Genomic DNA, 19,472 nt, shown 5'->3' with positions numbered 1-19,472 from the left:
TTAAAAGAATGATTGAATATATTTCTCAGATAGTGATATAATTTTTTTGTTTTTGAGACAGAGTCTCACTCTGTTGCCGAGGCTGGAGTGCAGTATCGTGATCTCAGCTCACTGCAACCTCTGCCTCCCAGATTTAAGGGATTCTTATGCCTCAGCCTCCCAAGTAGCTGGGACTACAGGTGCACGCCACCATGCCTGGCTCAGTTTTGTAATTTTAGTAGAGACAGGGTTTTGCCATGTTGGCCAGGCTGGTCTCAAAATCCTGGCCTCAAGGGATCTGCCCACCTCAGCCTCCCAAAGTGCTGGGATTATAGGTGGGAGCCACTGCACCAGCCTAAGTCAGTTTTTTCTAATTATTTTAATATATGCTGTGGTATATTGATATGCATCATGTTTCTACATTCTATTATTTCTGCACTTCATGTAAGCTTGCTTTTCTGACCAGTATCTAATAGTAATTTTTGAGTATAATTTTTTTCCTCTTTATCCTCTAGGCATAGGGGCTTAAATTTTCTCTTGAGTATCTTTTTGGTTTTCCTGTCATTACCTTTATTTTCTAGCATATGTTTCTTCTTTGGCTTCCTTCCTTCTTTCTTGACCCAACACATGAACTCTCTTTTTAGTATGGCATAAATTTTAATCAGGTGGGAAAATTCTGTACTTACTTTGTTTTTCTGGTAGAATTAAGCTTCCCCTCCAGGACCAGCACTAAATTTAGCCTGCAGCGTAAGAGATCAGCTTTGCTTATAGCAGGTCTTCTGTAAGCCTGTGTAGGATGTTCAATCAGGGAAACTGACTTCAAAATTGTATTTACAACTAAGTTTCAATTACGTGTCTTTTTTTTTTTTTTTTTTTAGTTTATTATTGGACCATTAATGGATGCGCTTTCAGAGAGCTCTCTGTATAGCAGGTAAAGAGACATTATGTTATGAAGTATTTGATACATACATTTCATGTTAAGAGACATGACCAGATTGTTTCATGCATTTGGCACATACAGTATGTTGCTGAATAGACAGTTGAGTTTTTCTTATCATGTGGTCCTTTTTCTATCTGTTATTCTTCTTGCATTCTGATTTGCATCAAGTGTTTCTCCTTTGTTTTTTCTTGTTTCCTTTTTCTGCCTTGAGCTGCTCTATTCTTGGGCTGTTGGAAACTATGTCTTCTACAGCACACTTTCTTCTCCCTACTGCTGCTTCCTGCTCTCTTGGAAGTTGTAATGATTTTGACTAACCAACACTTTAAACTTATTTTCCTTTTTCTTTTAACTTAGTTTTACACTTACAGAAAAGTCTTGAGAATAATCCAAAGAATTCTCATTTCCCTTTCACCCATATTCCCTGAATGTTAAGGTTTTACTGCATTTGCTTGATCGTTGCCTCTCCCTGTGTGCGCATCTTTCTTAGCTTTGTCTACTGACCAGACTTACTCATTTATATCTGTTTGAGTGCCTGTCTGTCCGCCATCCATCCATCCATCCATCCATCCATCCATCCGTTCATCCATCCATCCATATTAAGAACCGTGAATTCACACCAGGACGTCCAGTTTTAGTTCAGTACTGCAAGGTTCATTCTAACCTTTTCCTTTCCGTATCTGACAGTGGCTGCTGTTATTCATCCTGTCTCTACTTATAGGCCACAGTTAAAGTTTTGAAAAGGTTGACAGTGAGAAGTTTGTCAGGATTGTACCTTAGCCTCATTTTTTTGAGCATCATTTATGACTCTTGAATTCTGTCTTCAAAAATTTCCCTTGCTCTTGAAATTGTGTTATCTTTCTAATATTAACTAAATTTATAGTTGTGTCTTGCTGTTCAGTATGCCCTCTAAACAGAACTACCTCCCCCCACCAGCCAATTTCTTGAAACATTTTTAATTAGTCTCTGCCACGTTATATTAATATTTAGTCCTGTTTAATAATATTGAAAGAGCATAGCAACACTTGATTTGCCAATTATTTTTAGTTTTCAAATAACTCATTACTACTGAATAGTTTTCTGAAGCAATTAGACAGCTGGAGAGCAGTAAAACCAATGAAAAGATCTTGGTGTTTTCTAAGAGTTGACAAACACATTTATTATGAAATGCCTTCAGTTTTCTAGCACTCTAATGTGTTCAATTAGCAGATAATGTTCCTGGAAGAAGCATATAGCAGAAAAAATGTGACTTTAGTAGATGTTAACAATTAAATACTCTTGCAAAAGTAATTTATTACTAATATATGTCTTTGCTATGAATGTTACTTCTTTTGTTTTAGACCTAAAAATTTAAAGTCATTGGATTACATGTTGGGAACAATAAAATATAATTTAAAATTATCATTTCAGCCTCTTATTTTTTATGATACTGTTTAGCAAGATTCATATATGTGGAAGGGAAAGTCACAAAAAGGAAATCCTTAGTAAAGTAGGTTATTAACTCATGTCCATTTTCCTACAAGTTCCTGATGTTTCTGTAATCAGAAAAATTCTCAGAATTTTACTGAAAAATGAAATGCAGGTTCAGAAAAATAAAACTGTCTGATTGTTTTATTGTTGAAAGACTTTTGGGCCATGGTCCATTTAGGCTAGTTTTAGTGTAATCACTTGTAAATAAATGTTAAATATTTGTTTTCCCCACTCTCTGTTTGTAGGTCCCCAGGCCAGCCAATAGGAAGCTGTTCTCCATTGGGACTGAAATTACAGAAGTTTTTAGTCACTTATATTTCTCTTCTTCCAGAAGAAATAAAGAGTATGTGTCAGTAAAGGGTTTTTTTAAAAATGCTTTAGCTTACAGTTTCTTTTTTTTTTAGCAAATTGGTTATAAGCACCATCAACTATTATAATAAATATTTTCAAAATGGTTTCCTTTTCCAGGATATGCATATTTTCTCAGAATTATACAGTATCTTTTTTGAGTACACACTTTAGTCATTGTGTATGACATACTACCAGTATTGGCATGAGTAGCATGGAGGTAATTTTAGAAGGTGTGCTGCAGTTTAGCCATCGTTTCTAATTGTCTACTATTCAGTTTCAAGAATTGGTAAAATATATTTGAGAAATACGGAACTTGGTTTTAGGAAAAAGTTGTAAACAGAATACTCATTGTGGCAAGTTGTCCCTTTATAGATATTAACTTAGAAAGATAAGAAAGAAAAAATAAGCCAGGTGCAATGGCTCCCGCCTGGAATCCCAGCACTTTGGGAGGCCGAGGCAGACAGATCACCTGAGGTCAGGAGTTCGAGACCAACCTGGCCAACACAGCGAAACTCTGTCTCCACTAAAAATACAAAAATTATCCGGGCATGATGGTGTGTACCTGTAGTCCCAGCTACTTGGGAGGCTGAGGCAGGAGAATCACTTGAACCCAAGAGGCAGTGGTTGCAGTGAGCCAAGATTGTGCCACTATACTCTAGCCTGGGTGACAGAGCAAGACTGTCTCAAAAAAACAAAAAAAACAAAAAAACACTTGTTTTATGTAAGACCTTGTCCTAGAACCATCCCCCATCTTCAGGTTGGAGATGTAGTGTTCATTCTAATGAGGTAGGTTGGAAAGCACAGCACAAAAGCACTGTGATTTTTGTTTGCTGAGCAGCAGCAGGACCTACTCTGCTTTGTGAGTCCTTGTGTTACTCCCACCTTTGTGATTTGTAAAGTGAGCCTAGGTATGAAATACGTATTTTTTTCTTTTGTATTTAATCTGGCAAATAGGATGACAAGATGGCCAATGGTAATGTCTATTCAAACGTCAGAAAAAAGGGAAAATATGGTCTGTATATCATGACTTTAAATTTATAGAAAATTGATTGTTTTGATTACTTTTTCTTTAAAAAAATGTGTTAATGGGGAAGATGGGGAAGATAACTGTTAGAGTCATTCTTTTTTTTTTTTTTTTTTTGAGATGAAGTCTTGCTCTGTCATTAGGCTGGAGTGCAGTGGTGCGATCTCAGCTCACTGCAACCTCCGCCTCCCGGGTTCAAGTGATTCTCCTGCCTCAGCCTCCCGAGTAGCTGGGACTACAGGCATGCGCCACCACGCCCAGCTAATTTTTGTATTCTTAGTAGAGACAGGGTTTCACCGTGTTGGCCAGTATGGTCTCGATGTTTTGACCTCGTGATCTGCCCACCTCGGCCTCCCAAAATGCTGGGATTACAGGCGTGAGCCACCACACACAGCCTAGAGTCATTCTTTAGTTTGGTAGATTTCAGGAGTTTAATTAAGCATCTGGGCTGCAGCCATATGGGGATGAATTTGTCAGCCGCATTGCTGCCTTACATGTCAGTAGCACACGTGAGTGAAGTGATGTCGGTCAGGGCTTCCTAGAATTTGAGAGCCAGGTGTTTGTGATCCAGGACCAGGCATATCACAGATGCTTGGTAAATATGTTGAATCGATGTGAAATAGAAACTTGGCCATTGCCATCTTCCTAGTGTCATGAGTGAAGCGTTAGGCAAAAGATGGGATTTACTGAATTTAGTTAGTGCAAATGGAAGAAAGAAAAATTGAGGCCAGGAGTTCAAAAAGAGCAATTAAAACATTCATTCACAGTTATTTAGTCATTTTTCAGTCACCAGTTTCCAGTGAATATCTTCTGGGTGTTCTGAATGTCTTTTGTGCTAGGTATTTCAAAAGACACAAAGTCCGCGTAATATCCTTTTAGTAGCTTCTGAGGATTTCTTGAAAGTCATTCTACAACTATGTGAGAAAACAGACATTTTCACTAACTACATGAGATGAGGGTCCTTAAGAAATCACAGATTAGCAGAGAGGACAGAATGAAGCACTATCCCTTTGTATCTCAAAATAGAAATATAAATAATCGTAATTAAATCCAAGGTAGTCAAGAAACAGCCTATGAGAAAGATGTTACTGTTTGCATATACTAGAGGCCACTAACCATCAATACTTCCTATCCTGTTTTTCCTTCACATCTCAAATAGAAGAATGGCTTCTAATCATAAACAATTTTATCTTTTACTGGCCGGGTGTGGTGGCTGACGCCTGTAGTCTCAGCACTTTGGGAGGCTGAGGTGGGCAGATCACCTGAGGTTGGGAGTTTGAGACCAGCCAGCCAACATGGCCAAACCCCGTCTCTACTAAAAATACAAAAATTAGCCGGGTGTGGTGGCACATGCCTGTAATCCCAGCTACTCAGGAGGCTGAGGCAGGAGAATCACTTGAACCCAGGAGGTGGAGGTTGTAGTAGTAAGCCAAGATCAAGCCACTGCACTTCAGCCTGGGCAACAGAGTGAGACTCTGTCTCAAAACAAACAAACAAACAAAAAATTACCTTTTAAAAAAATACAGCTTCATGGGTATCAGAATCCCTATAGTACAGTAGAATACTTATCTTACTAAACTAGGAATTAAATTAACTTTTTTTTACAACAGCTTTATTGAGATAGAATTCACCCTTTTAAACCATTTGGTTTAGTGGTGTTTAGTGTATTCACAAAGTTGTACAGCTGTTACCACTGTCTAATTCCTGAATATTTTGATCACCCTCAAAAAGAAACCTCAGGTGTGTTAATAGTCGCTTCTCATTCTCTTCTACCCATAGCTCCTGGCAGCCACTGATCCTCTTTGTCTCTATAGATTTGCATATTCTCAACATTTCATGTCAGTGGAATCATACAATACGTGGCTTTTTGTGTCTGGCTTCTTTCACTAGCATAGTATTTTCAAGGTTTATCCTTGTTATGGCACGTATCAGCATTTCATTCCTTTTTGTGGCTGAATAGTATTTCACTGTATAGATATTTCACATTTTGTTCATTCATTCATTGGTAGGCATTTGGATTGTTTTCACTTTTGACTATTTGAGTAATGCTGTTATGAATGTTCATGTACAAGTTTCTGTATGAACACATCTTTGATTCTCTTGGATATATACCTGGAAGTAGAATTACCGGATCATGTGGTCCGTCTAAGTTTTGGAGGAACTGCCATATTTTTTTCCACAGCGGCTGCACCGTTTTACATTCCCACCAGCATTGTGTGAGGGTTCTGGGTTCTCCACATCCTCCCCAACTCTGAGTATTGTCTGTCCTTTAGATTATAGCCATCATAGTGTGTGGGAAGTGGAGCCTTACTATGGTTTTGACTTGTATTTCCCTAATACCTAATGGTATTGAGCTTCTTTTCATGTGCTAATTGGCAACAATGATAATTTAAAACTTTTTCTTTCAGGTAGCTTCCTATTGAAGTTTATTCGGAAGATGACAAGTAGGCATTGGTGTGCTGTTCCCATTTTGTTTCTATCTAAGGCTTTGGCAAATGTCCCAAGACATAAGGCCCTGGGTATAGATGGGCTTCTTGCTCTCAGGTAATTTACTCTGTATATGTACTTGTATGGTTATTTGCCATGACTTTCCATCAATATATATATTTTCTCCTCTGCTTTAATCTACAGTAAATGGATATAGTTAATATTGGGATTGGGATGTTTGGGCTCTTAATTTTACATAAGAAAAAAATTAAAAAATGTATTATTCGTATAGTTGAACTTATTTTGTTTTACAAATTACTAGTTTAAATGTGTACTGAAGTATGTGCTGTTGAATTTTGACCTCTTTAAATAAGGCCAGTAAGTTTTTTTTAAAATTACATTCGTAAGTAGAAAGCTAAAGATAAAATATCAAACAATAATATTTAACAGAAAGTATTTAAAAAATATTTGGTAAAAAGGAATTTTGAGGAGATGAAAAAAAGAAAAAGTATTTCAGTAAATATAAACTTCTTTAAAAGCATCTTCATTTATAGTTTTTTTTTTTTGAGCTGGAGTCTCGCTCTGTCACCCAGGCTGGAGTGCAGTGGTGCGATCTCGGCTCACTGCAACCTCTGCCTTCTGGATTCAAGCGATTCTCGTGTCTTAGCCTCCTAAGTAGCTGGGATTAAAGGTGTGCGCCATTACTCTCGACTGATTTTTGTATTTTTAGTAGAGACGGGATTGCACCATGTTGGCCAGGCTGGTCTCAAACTCCTGACCTCAGGTGACCTACCCGCCTCAATCTCTCAAAGTTGTGGGATTAGAGGTGTGAGCCACTGCGCCCGGCCTATAGTCTTATTTTTAAAAGAGACTTGTTTCATAGTAAAATTGAGCTCTTAATAGAGGCCATAATGGGAAATAACAGCTTTGAAATTCTGCAGACTTTCTGCATTAGGAAGTGTAGTTGTTATAAATCAACTTGTTGATAATCACAAATTATCAGAATTGTCTTTGGGAATACGGAACTGCATTTTTTGTGTTTCGATGTCAGGGATGTTATTCATTGCACTATGATCACACATCAGATTCTCCTGAGAGGGGCAGCCCAATGCTACCTTCTTCAAACAGCTATGAATTTGCTAGATGTGGTAAGTTTTTCTTTTGTTACTTCCATTTACAAGTCTTTCTTAGTGAGTGGGTGTACAGAAATGAGTTAACATAGCAGACCTGTGATACTGCCATTAGAAAGGCCTGCTTGTAATAAAATAATAAATGTGCTTGTAATAAAATAATACATATGATCTCTCTAAATAGTCCTTGGCTGGCACTGGGACCTTGGATTTTGGGAGGATTTACACTATCCTAACTGCTAAGAGTGGCTTATTGTATCTAAAGTGTTTGTTCAATGTGGTTTATGCTGAAAACCTGCTTTCTTTCTGAGAGTCTGGAATTTCAGTATGTATGAGGCAAAAGGTGCCTGCATGACCACGTCCCAGGAAAAGCCCGAGGCACTGAGTCTCCATTGAGCTTCCCTGGTAGACAGACTTTCACTGTGTTGTCACAGCTTGTTGCTGGGGGAGCTAAGTGTGTCCTGGGTGGCCCACTGGGAGAGGACTCTTGGAGCGTATGCCTTGTTCCCTCTCTACATTTCCCCTCATCTTCCCCTGTATCGACATTCAAGGAATATATATGGTGTGTATCCTGTGCTTTTTACAAAGCCTCAGTAAATATTGCTTACTACAGGGGTCAGCAAACTCTTTCTGTGCAGTGCCAGGTAGCAAACTTTTTTAAAGCTTTGCCGCTGGCTTTATGATCTGTGTTGCAACTTCTGAACTAAATAAACAGGCGTTGGCTATATTCCAAAAAAACTATTTACAAAACAGGCTGTGAATAGTTTTTGCCAATGCCTGGCCTAGATAGAGCCAAGGTATCTTATTTCAAGATGTACAACCTTAAGGGAATGAAAGACCTAGGTGGTTTTCTGAGTCAGGGGCTCATTTTTATGGCATTGAAAATAATCACTTTTTTTTTTTGAGACAGAGTTTTGCTCTTGTCTCCCAGACTAGAGTGCAATGGCACGATCTTGGCTCACTGCAACCTCCACCTCCCAGGTTCAAGTGATTCTCCTGCCTCAGCCTCCCAAGTAGCTGGGATTACAGGCATCTGCCACCACAACTGGCTAATTTTTGTATTTTTAGTAGAGATGGGGTTTTGCCATATTAGCCAGGCTGGTCTCGAACTCCTGACCTCAGGTGATCCACCCACCTCGGGCTCCCAATGTGCTGGGATTACAGGCGTGAGCCACCGCGCCTGTCCTCACATTTTGATTGAAAGTAATTTCTTCTTATAGAATGGTGTTTTTTTTTTTTTTAAGATTGTGACTGTCTTTAAGATAGTAACCTCAATTTTAAGTTAACATGGTATCTTTATGTTAAAAGTTGAATAATATTTTCTTTTTATTTGCTTTCTTTTGATTTAGCTAATGATATTTGCTTTCTTTTGATTTAGCTAATGATAACCTACTTTAAGTAGTAGAATTGATTGCCTTCACAGTGGTTTTAGTTTATTCAATTAAACATTTTAATACGAGTAATTTTTAAAACCTTTCCTGCCCTGCCCAGGAGAAAGTGTCACTTTCTGATGTCTCAACTTTTCTCATGTCTCTGAGACAAGAGGAATCCTTAGGACGAGGAACTTCATTGTGGACAGAGGTGAGATTAAAGATAATTTAATAAAGTCTTTGAAAACTATAAAAAATGGTTTTCTTAATGAATTTCTTAGTAGCCATTTATATAAAATATAATGATTGCTTTGTTATCTGTCAGCAGAGACTTTGAAATATTGTATATTTGCTTTGAGTGGACTTAACTAATTCTGCTAAGATGCTTATGGAGAGGTGGGAGAGAGGAAAATGTTTGCAGTACAGATAGACCTATTTAGAAGAAAAGATATTGCTAGTGGGCAGATCTCAACTCTGGATGAGATGCATTAGGAATAATGGCGATGTTAGACTCAAACACAGTAAGTGACACAAACTCCTCTTTCTCTTTTTTCTGTCATTGAATGGCCCCTTCCTCCACCCAGTTGTCCAGTCCTTATGTTTTGGTAATTCTGAGTTTGTCCTGACTTTCTGCATCCAATTCATCATGAAACCCTCCTGTCTCATAAACATCTTTCCTCTTCTCCATGCCGCTCTGTGGCTCTAGCTCAGACCCTCCTCATGTGAAGCTTCTTCCCTTGTGATGATGTCTTGTTGATGTCACGTCCCTGGCCTCCAGACCTCTTACTGTGCCACCCTTTTCCTCAGGACTCTTCAGGGCCAGCCTCCTCCCTCTTTTTGTAAACCACGGGGTTTAGTTTATACAACTGACTTCAGTGCTTATTTGTTATTTATGTGGCTGAGTTCTGATCTTTGTCCCCTCTGGGTTATATAGTTTTTGAGAAATGAAGAAGGGGCAAATTGTGGCCTTTAAAAAATAGAATTTTGTTTTATTTTCTTGATCACAATGCATCTAATTTTGTGGAATTTGAAAAATATAGAACCATATAAAGAAAATAAAAATAATCTGTAATGCCTACCGTCAAACTAAATTCATATTTTTTGGTTTAGTTTTTAGTTCTTTTTCCCTATGAATATACGTATTCTCTTACTTGCCTTCTCATTATAGATAAGTATATGTGTATTTAAAATAATACATATGATCTCTCTAAATATAGATTAAACTGTTTTAAATTTTATTTTTTTGTATTCACATATATATGAGCATTTTAGCATGTTGCTAAGTAATTTTTCAAGATGTAGTAAAAATGCAGTTGATTGTATCATTTAAAATTTATTGTATTAGTTCCTTTTCTTGGACTTTGTTTCAAAGTTTTTGCTTTTATAAATAACACTGGGCTGGGCACAGTGGCACTTTGGGAGGCTGAGGCGGGCAGATCACTTGAGGCCAGGAGTTCGAGACCAGCCTGGCCAGCATGGCGAAACCCCGTCTCTACTAAAAGTACAAAAATTATCGGGGCATGGTGGTGTGTGCCTGTAGTCTCAGCTACTTGGGAGGCTGAGACAGGAGAATTGCTTGAATCCGGGAGGCGGAGGTTGCAGTGAGCTGAGATCGTGCCACTGCACTCCAGCGTGCACGACAGAGTGAGACCCTGTCTCAAAAAGTAAATAACATTGGGAGGAACTTATTTCTATATGTTTTTATTTATACCTGTTTTTTAGGATAAATTCATAAAATTGAATTTGCTGTATTTCAATAATTTTAAGGTTCCTGATACAGATTGAGAGAGGTTTCAAAGTATGACAGTGGACATCCACTTTATCTACAGTGATACAATACCAAATGTATCAGCATGTTAAATTCTTTGCCACTTTGGTAGATAAAACATAGCATTTGGTGACTTTATTTGCATTACTCTGATCACTGTTTTTTAAAACATTTTTTCATGTCTTTGTAGTATTTCTTTTGTGAATTGTCTATTATTGTCCTTTCCCCATTTTGTTTTGGGATTTTAGTGGTTTTTTTTTCTTTTTTACTTGATTTGTAAGTGCTCTTTTTATATTGAGGGTATTGACAAGTTGTTATACCTACTGCAAATAATTTTTTTTTAGTTCCTTTTTAAAAAATTTAGCTTTGCTTGCTGAATGGGTAATGAATTTACGTGATTTGAAGATTAAAACTATTGGTCAGAAGTGTCTTATTTCTGTTTTGCTCTTCTATCTTGCCTTGATCCTTATCGTACTCCACCCCATCCCCAAACAAAGGTGTTTTTGATATAGACTCTGCTTACTACCTTGCAAGTTTTCATTAAAATGTATATTCATAGTGATTTCTTTATCTCAGTAGGCAAAGACCCTTCTTAGTCTTTTTTTGTAAAGTAAAGCTTGCATAGTATTTTGTAAAGTAAAGCTTGCATAGTATTCCATCTGGTGGTTGTACCATTGTTTATTCAATTTCCCCCATTGCCGAACTGTTGAGTTGTCCAGTCTTGTGGCTTTTACAGACAATGCCACAATAAATGAATAGTCTGCAGGTACATCTGCAGAATGGAGTCCTAGAATTGGGATTGCTGGTCAGAGGTTGGGTGCCTGTGTAATCTTTCTGGGGATTGCCCAGTTTCCCTCCATAGTTTCCTATGGTTGCTGTAATAAATTACCACCAGATTGGTGGCTTAAAATAACATACATTTATTCCCTTACAGTTCTGGAGGCCAGAAGTCTGGAATCCGTTTCACTCGTCTGCAATTAAGATTCTGGCTGGCTTGTGCTTCCTTGTAGGGGCGAGTCCACTTCCTCATCTTCTGGAGCTGTATTGCTTGCATTTCTCGGCTCATGGTCCTTTCTCCATCTTCAAAACCAGCAGCCTGGCATTTCGAGATCTCTGCTTCGTCTTCATATCACATTCTTCTCTTCTGTTTCTGTGGCCAAATCTGCCTCTGCCTTCCTTTTATGAGGACACTTAGGATTACATTGGGCCCCCTCAAATAATCCAGCATAATGTCCCCATCTGAGAATACTTAAATCTGCAAAGCTCCTTTTGCTGCATAAGGTAACATTCACAGGTTCCGGGATTAGGACCTCGGTATCTTTGGGCCTACCATAGGGTTGCAGGAGTTTCACAGGGTATGATAGTGCCTGTTGTGAAGCAGGATTTTTTACCAGTCTGAAGGATGGGAAAGGGCATTTCAGTATAATTTTAATTAATCATTCTCTTATAATTTGTAAGTTCAGGCATCTTTTCAGTTTCATTTTGATTTTTGATTTTGTTTAGTTTTTTCCTGGTAGCTTTTTACTTATGAAAATTTTAAAAATTCTTAGAAGAGTATAATGAACTCTCATGTACCCATCACCCATCATCTACCATTGCTGCTCATGGCCGGTCTTCTTTGACCTGGACCTCCTACTCTCCCTTCCTGTCCCAATTATTTTGAATCAAATCCTATCAAATCTTATTTTTCATCTAAAAATTTTTGAATATGTACTGCTAAAAGATAAGGAGTTTAAAGGGCTTAAAAAATAAGCCTTTATCACACCTAAAAAAACTAAGAAATGTTTTTAAAATTTATTTTCTTTCTGTTTGGTCAGATGTCCAATTTTGTTTGTTCAGGTATTCAAATAAGGCCTATTCACTGCAGCTAGTAGGCATAGCTTTAAAATTGTGGACTCTATTCCAGCTGGAATTTATTTTGTTGTATGAGTTGTGAGGTTTAAAAGAGAAAATTCATGTAAAAAAGCTTTAGGCTACGGTTAGCCCATATTTAATGTAAATATCTAATATTACTAATGTCTTTTCGCCCTGGTTTAAGGAGTGAGACATTTGCCTGTTGTATTATTTGTTTTTAAGGAGCCAGCTCTTAGATTTCTTCATCTGTTCCCCTTAATTTTTCGGTTCTGTAATGCATCAGTGTCTGTTTTCATCTCTGACTCTCCTTTCGTTTGTTTTGCCTGTCTCCTAATGTCCTGGAGTCATTTGTTGAGAACTATGTATTGCACATCTCCCACAGGCCAGGCACTGTGCTGAGTGTTGGTAATACAGTGGTCAGTGAGAGAAACATGTTGACTACCCTCAGGAGGCTTATAAAGTTGGTGGTTTATAGCTGAATCCAGATTTCAATTCTTTTTTTGTTTGAAAGCACTTACATGTATGTATATATATATTTTAGTGTAAATTTGACTGTATCCTATAACTTTTGTTATGTAGTGTTCTCATTATTATCTAATTATCTAGTTATGTTAAGTCATGTAAAATCATTGATATTCAGTAATTTTAAACCTATAGAAATGGCATTTTCATGTAGCTCACCCTAAATAGTTTTTTAATTAATAGATTTTATTTTTTGAAACAGTATTTGGTTTCCAGAAAAATTAAACAAAGTGCAGAGAGTTCCAGCCAGGCATGGTGGCTCATGCCTGTAATCCCAGTACTTTGGGAGGCAGAGGCGGGCAGATCACTTGAGCTCAGGAGTTCAAGACCAGCCTCGGTAACATAGCGAGACCCTGTCTCAGTATATTTTAAAAATAAAGTAATAATGTAAAAAAAAAAAAAAACACACAAAAAAAGTACAGAGAGTTTCCACATACTCCCACACCACTCTTCCTGTCCCTACACACAGTTTCCCCTGTTGTTAACATTTTGTATTAGTGTGGTTCATTTGTTACAATTGATGACCCCCATATTGATTACTATTATGAACTAAAGGTCATAGTTGACATTAGGGTTCACTCTTCACATTGTACATTCCATGGGCTTTGACAGACGTGTCGTACAGAATAGTCTCACTGCCCCCAAAAATTCTCTGTGCTCTGCCTGTTCATCCCTCCTTTCCCCCAGACCTTGGCAGCTGATCTTTTTACTCTCTATAGTTTTGTCTTTTCCATAATGCCACATAGTTGGAATCATACAGGACCCAGCCTTTTCAGATTGGCTCTTCCACTTAGTAATATGCACTTAAGGTTCCTTCCTGTGTTTTCATGGCTTGATAGCTCATTTTTTTTTTTTTAGTGCTTACTAAGACTTCATTGTCTGGATGTACCACAGTTTATTTATCCATTCACCTACTGAAGGACATCTTGGTTGCTTCCAGGTTTTGGCAGTTGTAAGACTACTGTAAACATCTTTATGCAGGTTTTTGTGTGGACATAACTTTTCAACTCATTTGGGTAAATACCAAGGAGCACAGTTGCCAGATTGAGTGGTAAGATTATGTTTAGTTTTAGAGAAATTGCCAAGCTGTCTTTCGAACCATACTATTTTGCATTCCTACCAGCAAAGAATGAGAGTTCTTACTGCCCCACATTCTCTTCAGCATTTGGTTTGTCAGCGTTCTGGATTTTAGCCACTCCAGTAGCTATATAGTGGTGTCTTATTGTTGTAATTCCAAATTCCCTGAAAATAGATGATACTGAGCATTTTGTATATGCTATTTACCATCTGTATGTCTTCTTTGGTGAGGTATCCAGTTCTTTTGCACATTTTTGAATTAGGTTATGTGTTTTCTTACGGTGAGGTTTTAAAAGTCCTTTGAATACTTTGGATACCAGTCCTTTATCAGATATGTGTTTTGCAAATATTTTCTCCCAGTCTGTGGCTTGTCCTCTCATTCTCTTTATGTGTCCAAATAGATTTTTGAGACTTGTATTGTAATGGGGAATCAAGGGAACCTGCCTACCCAGAGACTGCCATTTAGATGTCATTTTAAACCATAAGTCTGACATGAAAAGTCTTTGAAGGGAAAATATTCTGAATTTTGTGACAGATTTGATAGAGGGAAAGAAAAAAATCAAATATGAATTAGAGTTTAGTTGTCAAAAATAATTTTGATACAGCAGAATCATGCCTGTGGAAATACAAGATTCGAAAAGCCTCACGTATTTTGTAGCAATAATTAGGCAACGCAGTCTGGCCAGTTTTAGAGGAATGCAAAGAAAAGTGTATACTGTTAAAAGATAAATACCGGCTGACCTCACTGTTAGACAATAATATCTTAAGATTATCCGACTTGATAAAGACCTACACAGAACAACCTCCTTTAGCGTCATTGACTTGCTCACTCATTGTACCTGTGTGGTGTCTTTTAGTCCTGACCACTTCGATGATCCAGTCATTCATCATTTTTTTTTTTTTTTTTTGAGACGGAGTCTCGCTCTGTCGCCCAGGCTGGAGTGCAGTGGCGGGATCTCGGCTCACTGCAAGCTCCGCCTCCCGGGTTCACGCCATTCTCCTGCCTCAGCCTCCCAAGTAGCTGGGACTACAGGCGCCCGCCACTACGCCCGGCTAATTTTTTTGTATTTTTAGTAGAGACGGGGTTTCACCGTTTTTAGCCGGGATGGTCTCGATCTCCTGACCTCGTGATCCGCCCGCCTCGGCCTCCCAAAGTGCTGGGATTACAGGCGTGAGCCACCGCGCCCGGCCCATTCATCAGTTTTATCTTTGGTCAGGTGATGTATTCTTCCTTTGCCTCCTTATAGTAAACTTTGGGTAACCCTAATGGACACAAAAAATAATTTTTCAAAAATGCTTACTTTTTAGAAAGACTCATTTCATAATTATTTTCTTCATATTTAAACTCAGTTATTGAATTTGCTTATTAAGACAGATATTATAAAAAGGAAATTGAGAACATATTTAGATTTTAAAACAAAAGTTTCACCATTATACGTGACCAAAGATGAGTTGTGAAATTATGTGACTTTTATTTGCAAACCTTCTAAGAGATGTAATGGAGAAGGCCTCGGACAGTGTTTCTCTTTTAAATTAATATGCAGTATTTTAATATGCACGTATGATAGAAAATAAACTTGTGAGGAGGGTAGGAACTTTGATTATAACTTAAATTTCAAATTCTACATTCTCTCAAAGATAAAACTTCTTGTTTTAGCATGTGAAGCTGGAAGAAGTTTTAGTTGAAGGTTGTAAGTTGTTTTATGTAATGCGTTATTTTTTATAGAGATCTTTACCTCATTAAAGTGTACATTTTATATAAGGTACATTAGAAATTCTTGCCTGTTAATGAAGTTTATACATTCTTTGAAGGAGATTAGAAAACACACACACACACATATGTGTATATATATATATATCTCACATATATATATCACACATACATATACGCATACATAAATATATATACACATAGTTTTTTTGTTTTTACTGTCTGTGGAACTCAAGTATGATAGTAAATGGTTTATTACTTTGTATTCGATTATTTAAATTTGGTTTATCGTGAAAGAAAGAAACGTGGCTTAAGGAGATTAGAAATCCTTTGTTTGGTTAGGTTTTTAAAATAAAGTAATAACTGTTTTCTTTTCCAGCTGTGTGACTGGCTACGTGTTAATGAAAGCTATTTTAAGCCATCCCCTACGTGTAGCTCCATTGGACTTCACAAGACATCTTTAAATGCTTATGTAAAGAGCATTGTTCAAGAGTATGTTAAGTCATCTGCTTGGGAAAGTAAGTCTGCAATCATTTTTATGGATTGATATAACCAAAATATTTTCAAAGAACTTTTAACTAGTTTTTCAGACTGAGAGTTAGGCTTTACGAAATATATGATGATTTATTGATGCCAAACTTGTATTTCAGTAAAATAATGTGAAAAAAAAGTAAAGATACTGTCTCCTAACTTGTATTAATACTTTATCTGTTCTGAGACTTGAGATTCTAAATTATTTTATGTTTAAGGAAACTAATAAGTTGCCAGAGTTAAGAAGTGGATGCAAAGTCATTTATTTATTCTGCAATTACTGGGTCCTTGTGAACTAGATACTGCAGATATGGTTTTGGAGCCTCTGTAGTGGAAATATATGCATTGGAAATACGTGTTTATCTTTTTCATTTTTAAAGCACGTTTAGTATGAACTGATTATGAAAAACAATTTTAAACAAAGGCTGTGTTTAAAAGGATAGTTTTGTTAGTTTCTTTTTCAGCAGATACTTTGCAACATCAATTTTACAAAGATCCTTTCTTTGAGGAAATATATAAGACAACATTAGAGAAGCACTCTTAACAGATTCATTAATTAGGATTCTTTTTACATTCCTAATGCTTCCTTTTCATTAAAGTCATTGGTGATAATTTAGGAAAATTGCATCTTCGAATTTAACATGTCTTAAATTTCCTAGCTTTGTCTCACACAAAGTCATTTTCATCTCCTGATTTCTTTAATCTGACCATGGAATAGGTCTTAAATGATCAGATAATTATCCTTCCAAAATGCATGAGTTTATTCTTCTTGGAACATTTCTCTTTTGTATTTTTAGTCTTTTTTGGTCTGTCTGTGTCTAGTAAATGTCTTATGCTGTTACATTGGAAGATTATTTGAAGTAAATATGTTAGTCTCTATTAAAGTAGACATAAACTGGGAGGTCAGATAGAGGTCTGAGAGACCATGGCCTTTGTGGCTTCATTCATTTAATCTCATTTCTGGTCACATTTTAGGGAACACTCATCTCAGCTGAAATACTAGAATTGCCTCTTACGGAGTTACCTTGCATCTACTCTTGCTTCATCTACAATATCTTTTCCACATGGTACCTAGATAAATCTTTTCAAAATATAAATTTTGATTTTAGACATTTTTCCTCCACTTCTTTGTATATATTCCCTTTAACCTTCAGTGGCTTCCTATTGCCTTTAGGGCAGAGACAAAGGTCCTCTGCATGGCCTGCAAGGTTTCCTGGTCTCTCCCCTGCCTGTTTATGCCACTTCAGTTTTTGCTGCTCCCTGTCACTTAGTGCACACATGAGCATCCTCCTATTTTCTGGAATATGGTATGCCTTCTTCTGCTAGAAGACCTTTGATGTGCTCTTCCTTCTGTCTAGAAAGTTCTCGTGTCCCTTCATCTTTCCTCTTGAGTCGTCACACTCAGCCCAATTGTCATTTCTTCAGGGAAACTTCCTCTTACTCTCTGGATGAGGGCATGTCTTCCTAGTGTAGACTCCACTAGCACCATGTACTTCTCATTCGTAGCCCTCACTATAATTGCATTTTTCTATGTATTCTTTGATAATGCTTTTCTCCTGTACTCTAAATTCCATGAGCACAGGAAACACTGGGTCTGCAGCACCCAGGTAATTGCATGGCATGTAGCAGGCACACAAATTTCTTTTTTGTTCCTGTTGAAATAGATATGTATAATAATGAGCCATGCTCTAGGGTGTTCTGCTGTAGTTCATCTCGGTTGTATTTCTCTCATAATTTAATATTAATAAGGCATAATCATTTAGTGGGTTTTTTTGAAGCATCATCCTTGAAGGATTTTGTTAATGCTTTGCAAACCTTAACTGTTGTTATTTAAGCAGGAGAAAACTGCTTTATGCCTGATTGGTTTGAAGCCAAGCTTGTTTCTCTGATGGTCTTGCTGGCTGTGGATGTGGAAGGAATGAAGACTCAGTATAGGTAATTGTTTCTGTAATTGAAAAGAAAGCCTATTTGAAAAATCCTGATGAGAATTATGATGTGTATTCAGATTTTTGAATGATTGAACTTAGTTGACCACAAGGTGTCAAGGAAGGTACTAGAACATTAACAGTATACTGAAGAAATGTTTAAAGTTAATAACAAATAGGAATAGGGGCATATTAGTGCTTTTAAATTGGTAAATTAAATGTTAAACTTAACAATTTAATGTTAATTAGATGGCCAGGCACAGTAGCTCATGCCTGTAATCCCAGCACTTTGGGAGGCCAAGGCAGGCAGATCACCTGAGGTCAGGAGTTTGAGGCCAGACTGGCCAACATGGTGAAACCCTGTCTCTACTAAAAATACAAAAATCAGCCGGGCGTGGTGGTGCACGTCTGTAGTCTCAACTACTAGAGAGGCTAAGGCGGGAAGATCACTTGAACTGGGTGGCGGAGGTTGCAGTGAGCCACGATTGCACCATTGCACTCCAGCCTGGACCACAAAGTGAGACTTCATCTGAAAAACATTTAATGTTAAATTAGAGAAGATTAAAAAACCATATACAATAGTCACTGGTTTTATATCAGAATATTAGAAATAGATTGCAAGATTCCAGTATAAGTTTAGGTAAAGAGATTTACTGGATTTGACTCCTTTGTAAAATACATAATTAAAAAAACGGTAATAAAGATAAAACACTCATTTATATTTTGTGAGAATGGAAGCAGGTCAGTTTTCACTTGATTATTGTTTTGCAATAAGCAGCATCATTAGGTAGATCAGGTAGGATATTTGCGTGACATACAGTTAATTTGATTTACATCAAATCTCTTTTCTAGACAAAGATTTTGTACCGAAGTTGGTTATCCAGTCTGGGAAAATAAGCGAGACCCTGTCTCTACAAAAATTAAAAAATTACCTGCACATGGTGGCTCACACCTGTGGTCCCAGCTACTTAGGAGGCTGATGTGGGAAGATCGCTTGAGCCTGGGAGGTTGAGCCCACAGTGAGCTATGATCACACCACAGCACTCCAGCCTGGGCGACAGAGTGAGACCCCATCTCAAAAAAAAAAAAAAAAAAGTTGGTTAACAGTTTTTAATAAATCCTTAGGTTTTTTTTTTTTTTTTTTGGATTTTTAAAAACATGTTCTAGTTCCTTGACTAGCTTATGTTTGTTTTGGTTTTATATTTTTGTATTATGGAAGCAGGGTGTCATTAATTTAATTTACACATTAATTGGGTATAGGATTTCCTTCCTGCTGGTGCCTGGCATTGAAGACAGTGGTTCTTCCCTGTGCCTTCTTTAGTGAGTCGCCACCCTCACGGGAAAGCACGGACCAGAAGATGAGTCCTCATAGCTGCTGGTTGTCTGGGTCTTTCAT

General features: G+C 37.4%; 1 protein-coding gene across 15 annotated transcripts in view; it reads left to right on the top strand.

The window, feature by feature from the left end:
• TARBP1 (tRNA guanosine 2 -O-methyltransferase TARBP1) overlaps positions 1 to 19,472 on the top strand; it is an 87,867-nt gene that overhangs the window by 12,614 nt on the left and 55,781 nt on the right. For 9 of the 15 annotated variants that reach the window (XR_007063103.1, XR_949157.3, XM_011544263.3 and 6 more), the window contains exons 5-11: positions 858 to 910; positions 2,632 to 2,729; positions 6,170 to 6,305; positions 7,240 to 7,336; positions 8,810 to 8,899; positions 16,000 to 16,138; positions 17,987 to 18,086. Coding sequence is in view for 13 of the 15 variants with exons in the window: in XM_011544263.3 (XP_011542565.1) it covers positions 858 to 910; positions 2,632 to 2,729; positions 6,170 to 6,305; positions 7,240 to 7,336; positions 8,810 to 8,899; positions 16,000 to 16,138; positions 17,987 to 18,086 (713 nt within the window). In the remaining 2 variants the exon portion in view is untranslated. The remainder of the gene's footprint in view (positions 1 to 857; positions 911 to 2,631; positions 2,730 to 6,169; positions 6,306 to 7,239; positions 7,337 to 8,809; positions 8,900 to 15,999; positions 16,139 to 17,986; positions 18,087 to 19,472) is intronic. The other 6 variants (XM_047429060.1, XM_005273234.4, XM_047429068.1 and 3 more) reach the window with 2 other exon arrangements.

Source organism: Homo sapiens, chromosome 1, assembly GCF_000001405.40.
Source record: "Homo sapiens chromosome 1, GRCh38.p14 Primary Assembly".
NCBI classification, from domain to species: Eukaryota; Metazoa; Chordata; class Mammalia; order Primates; family Hominidae; genus Homo; species Homo sapiens.
Note: the sequence above shows the minus strand (reverse complement) of the source record. Positions and strands in the feature narration are given on the sequence as shown.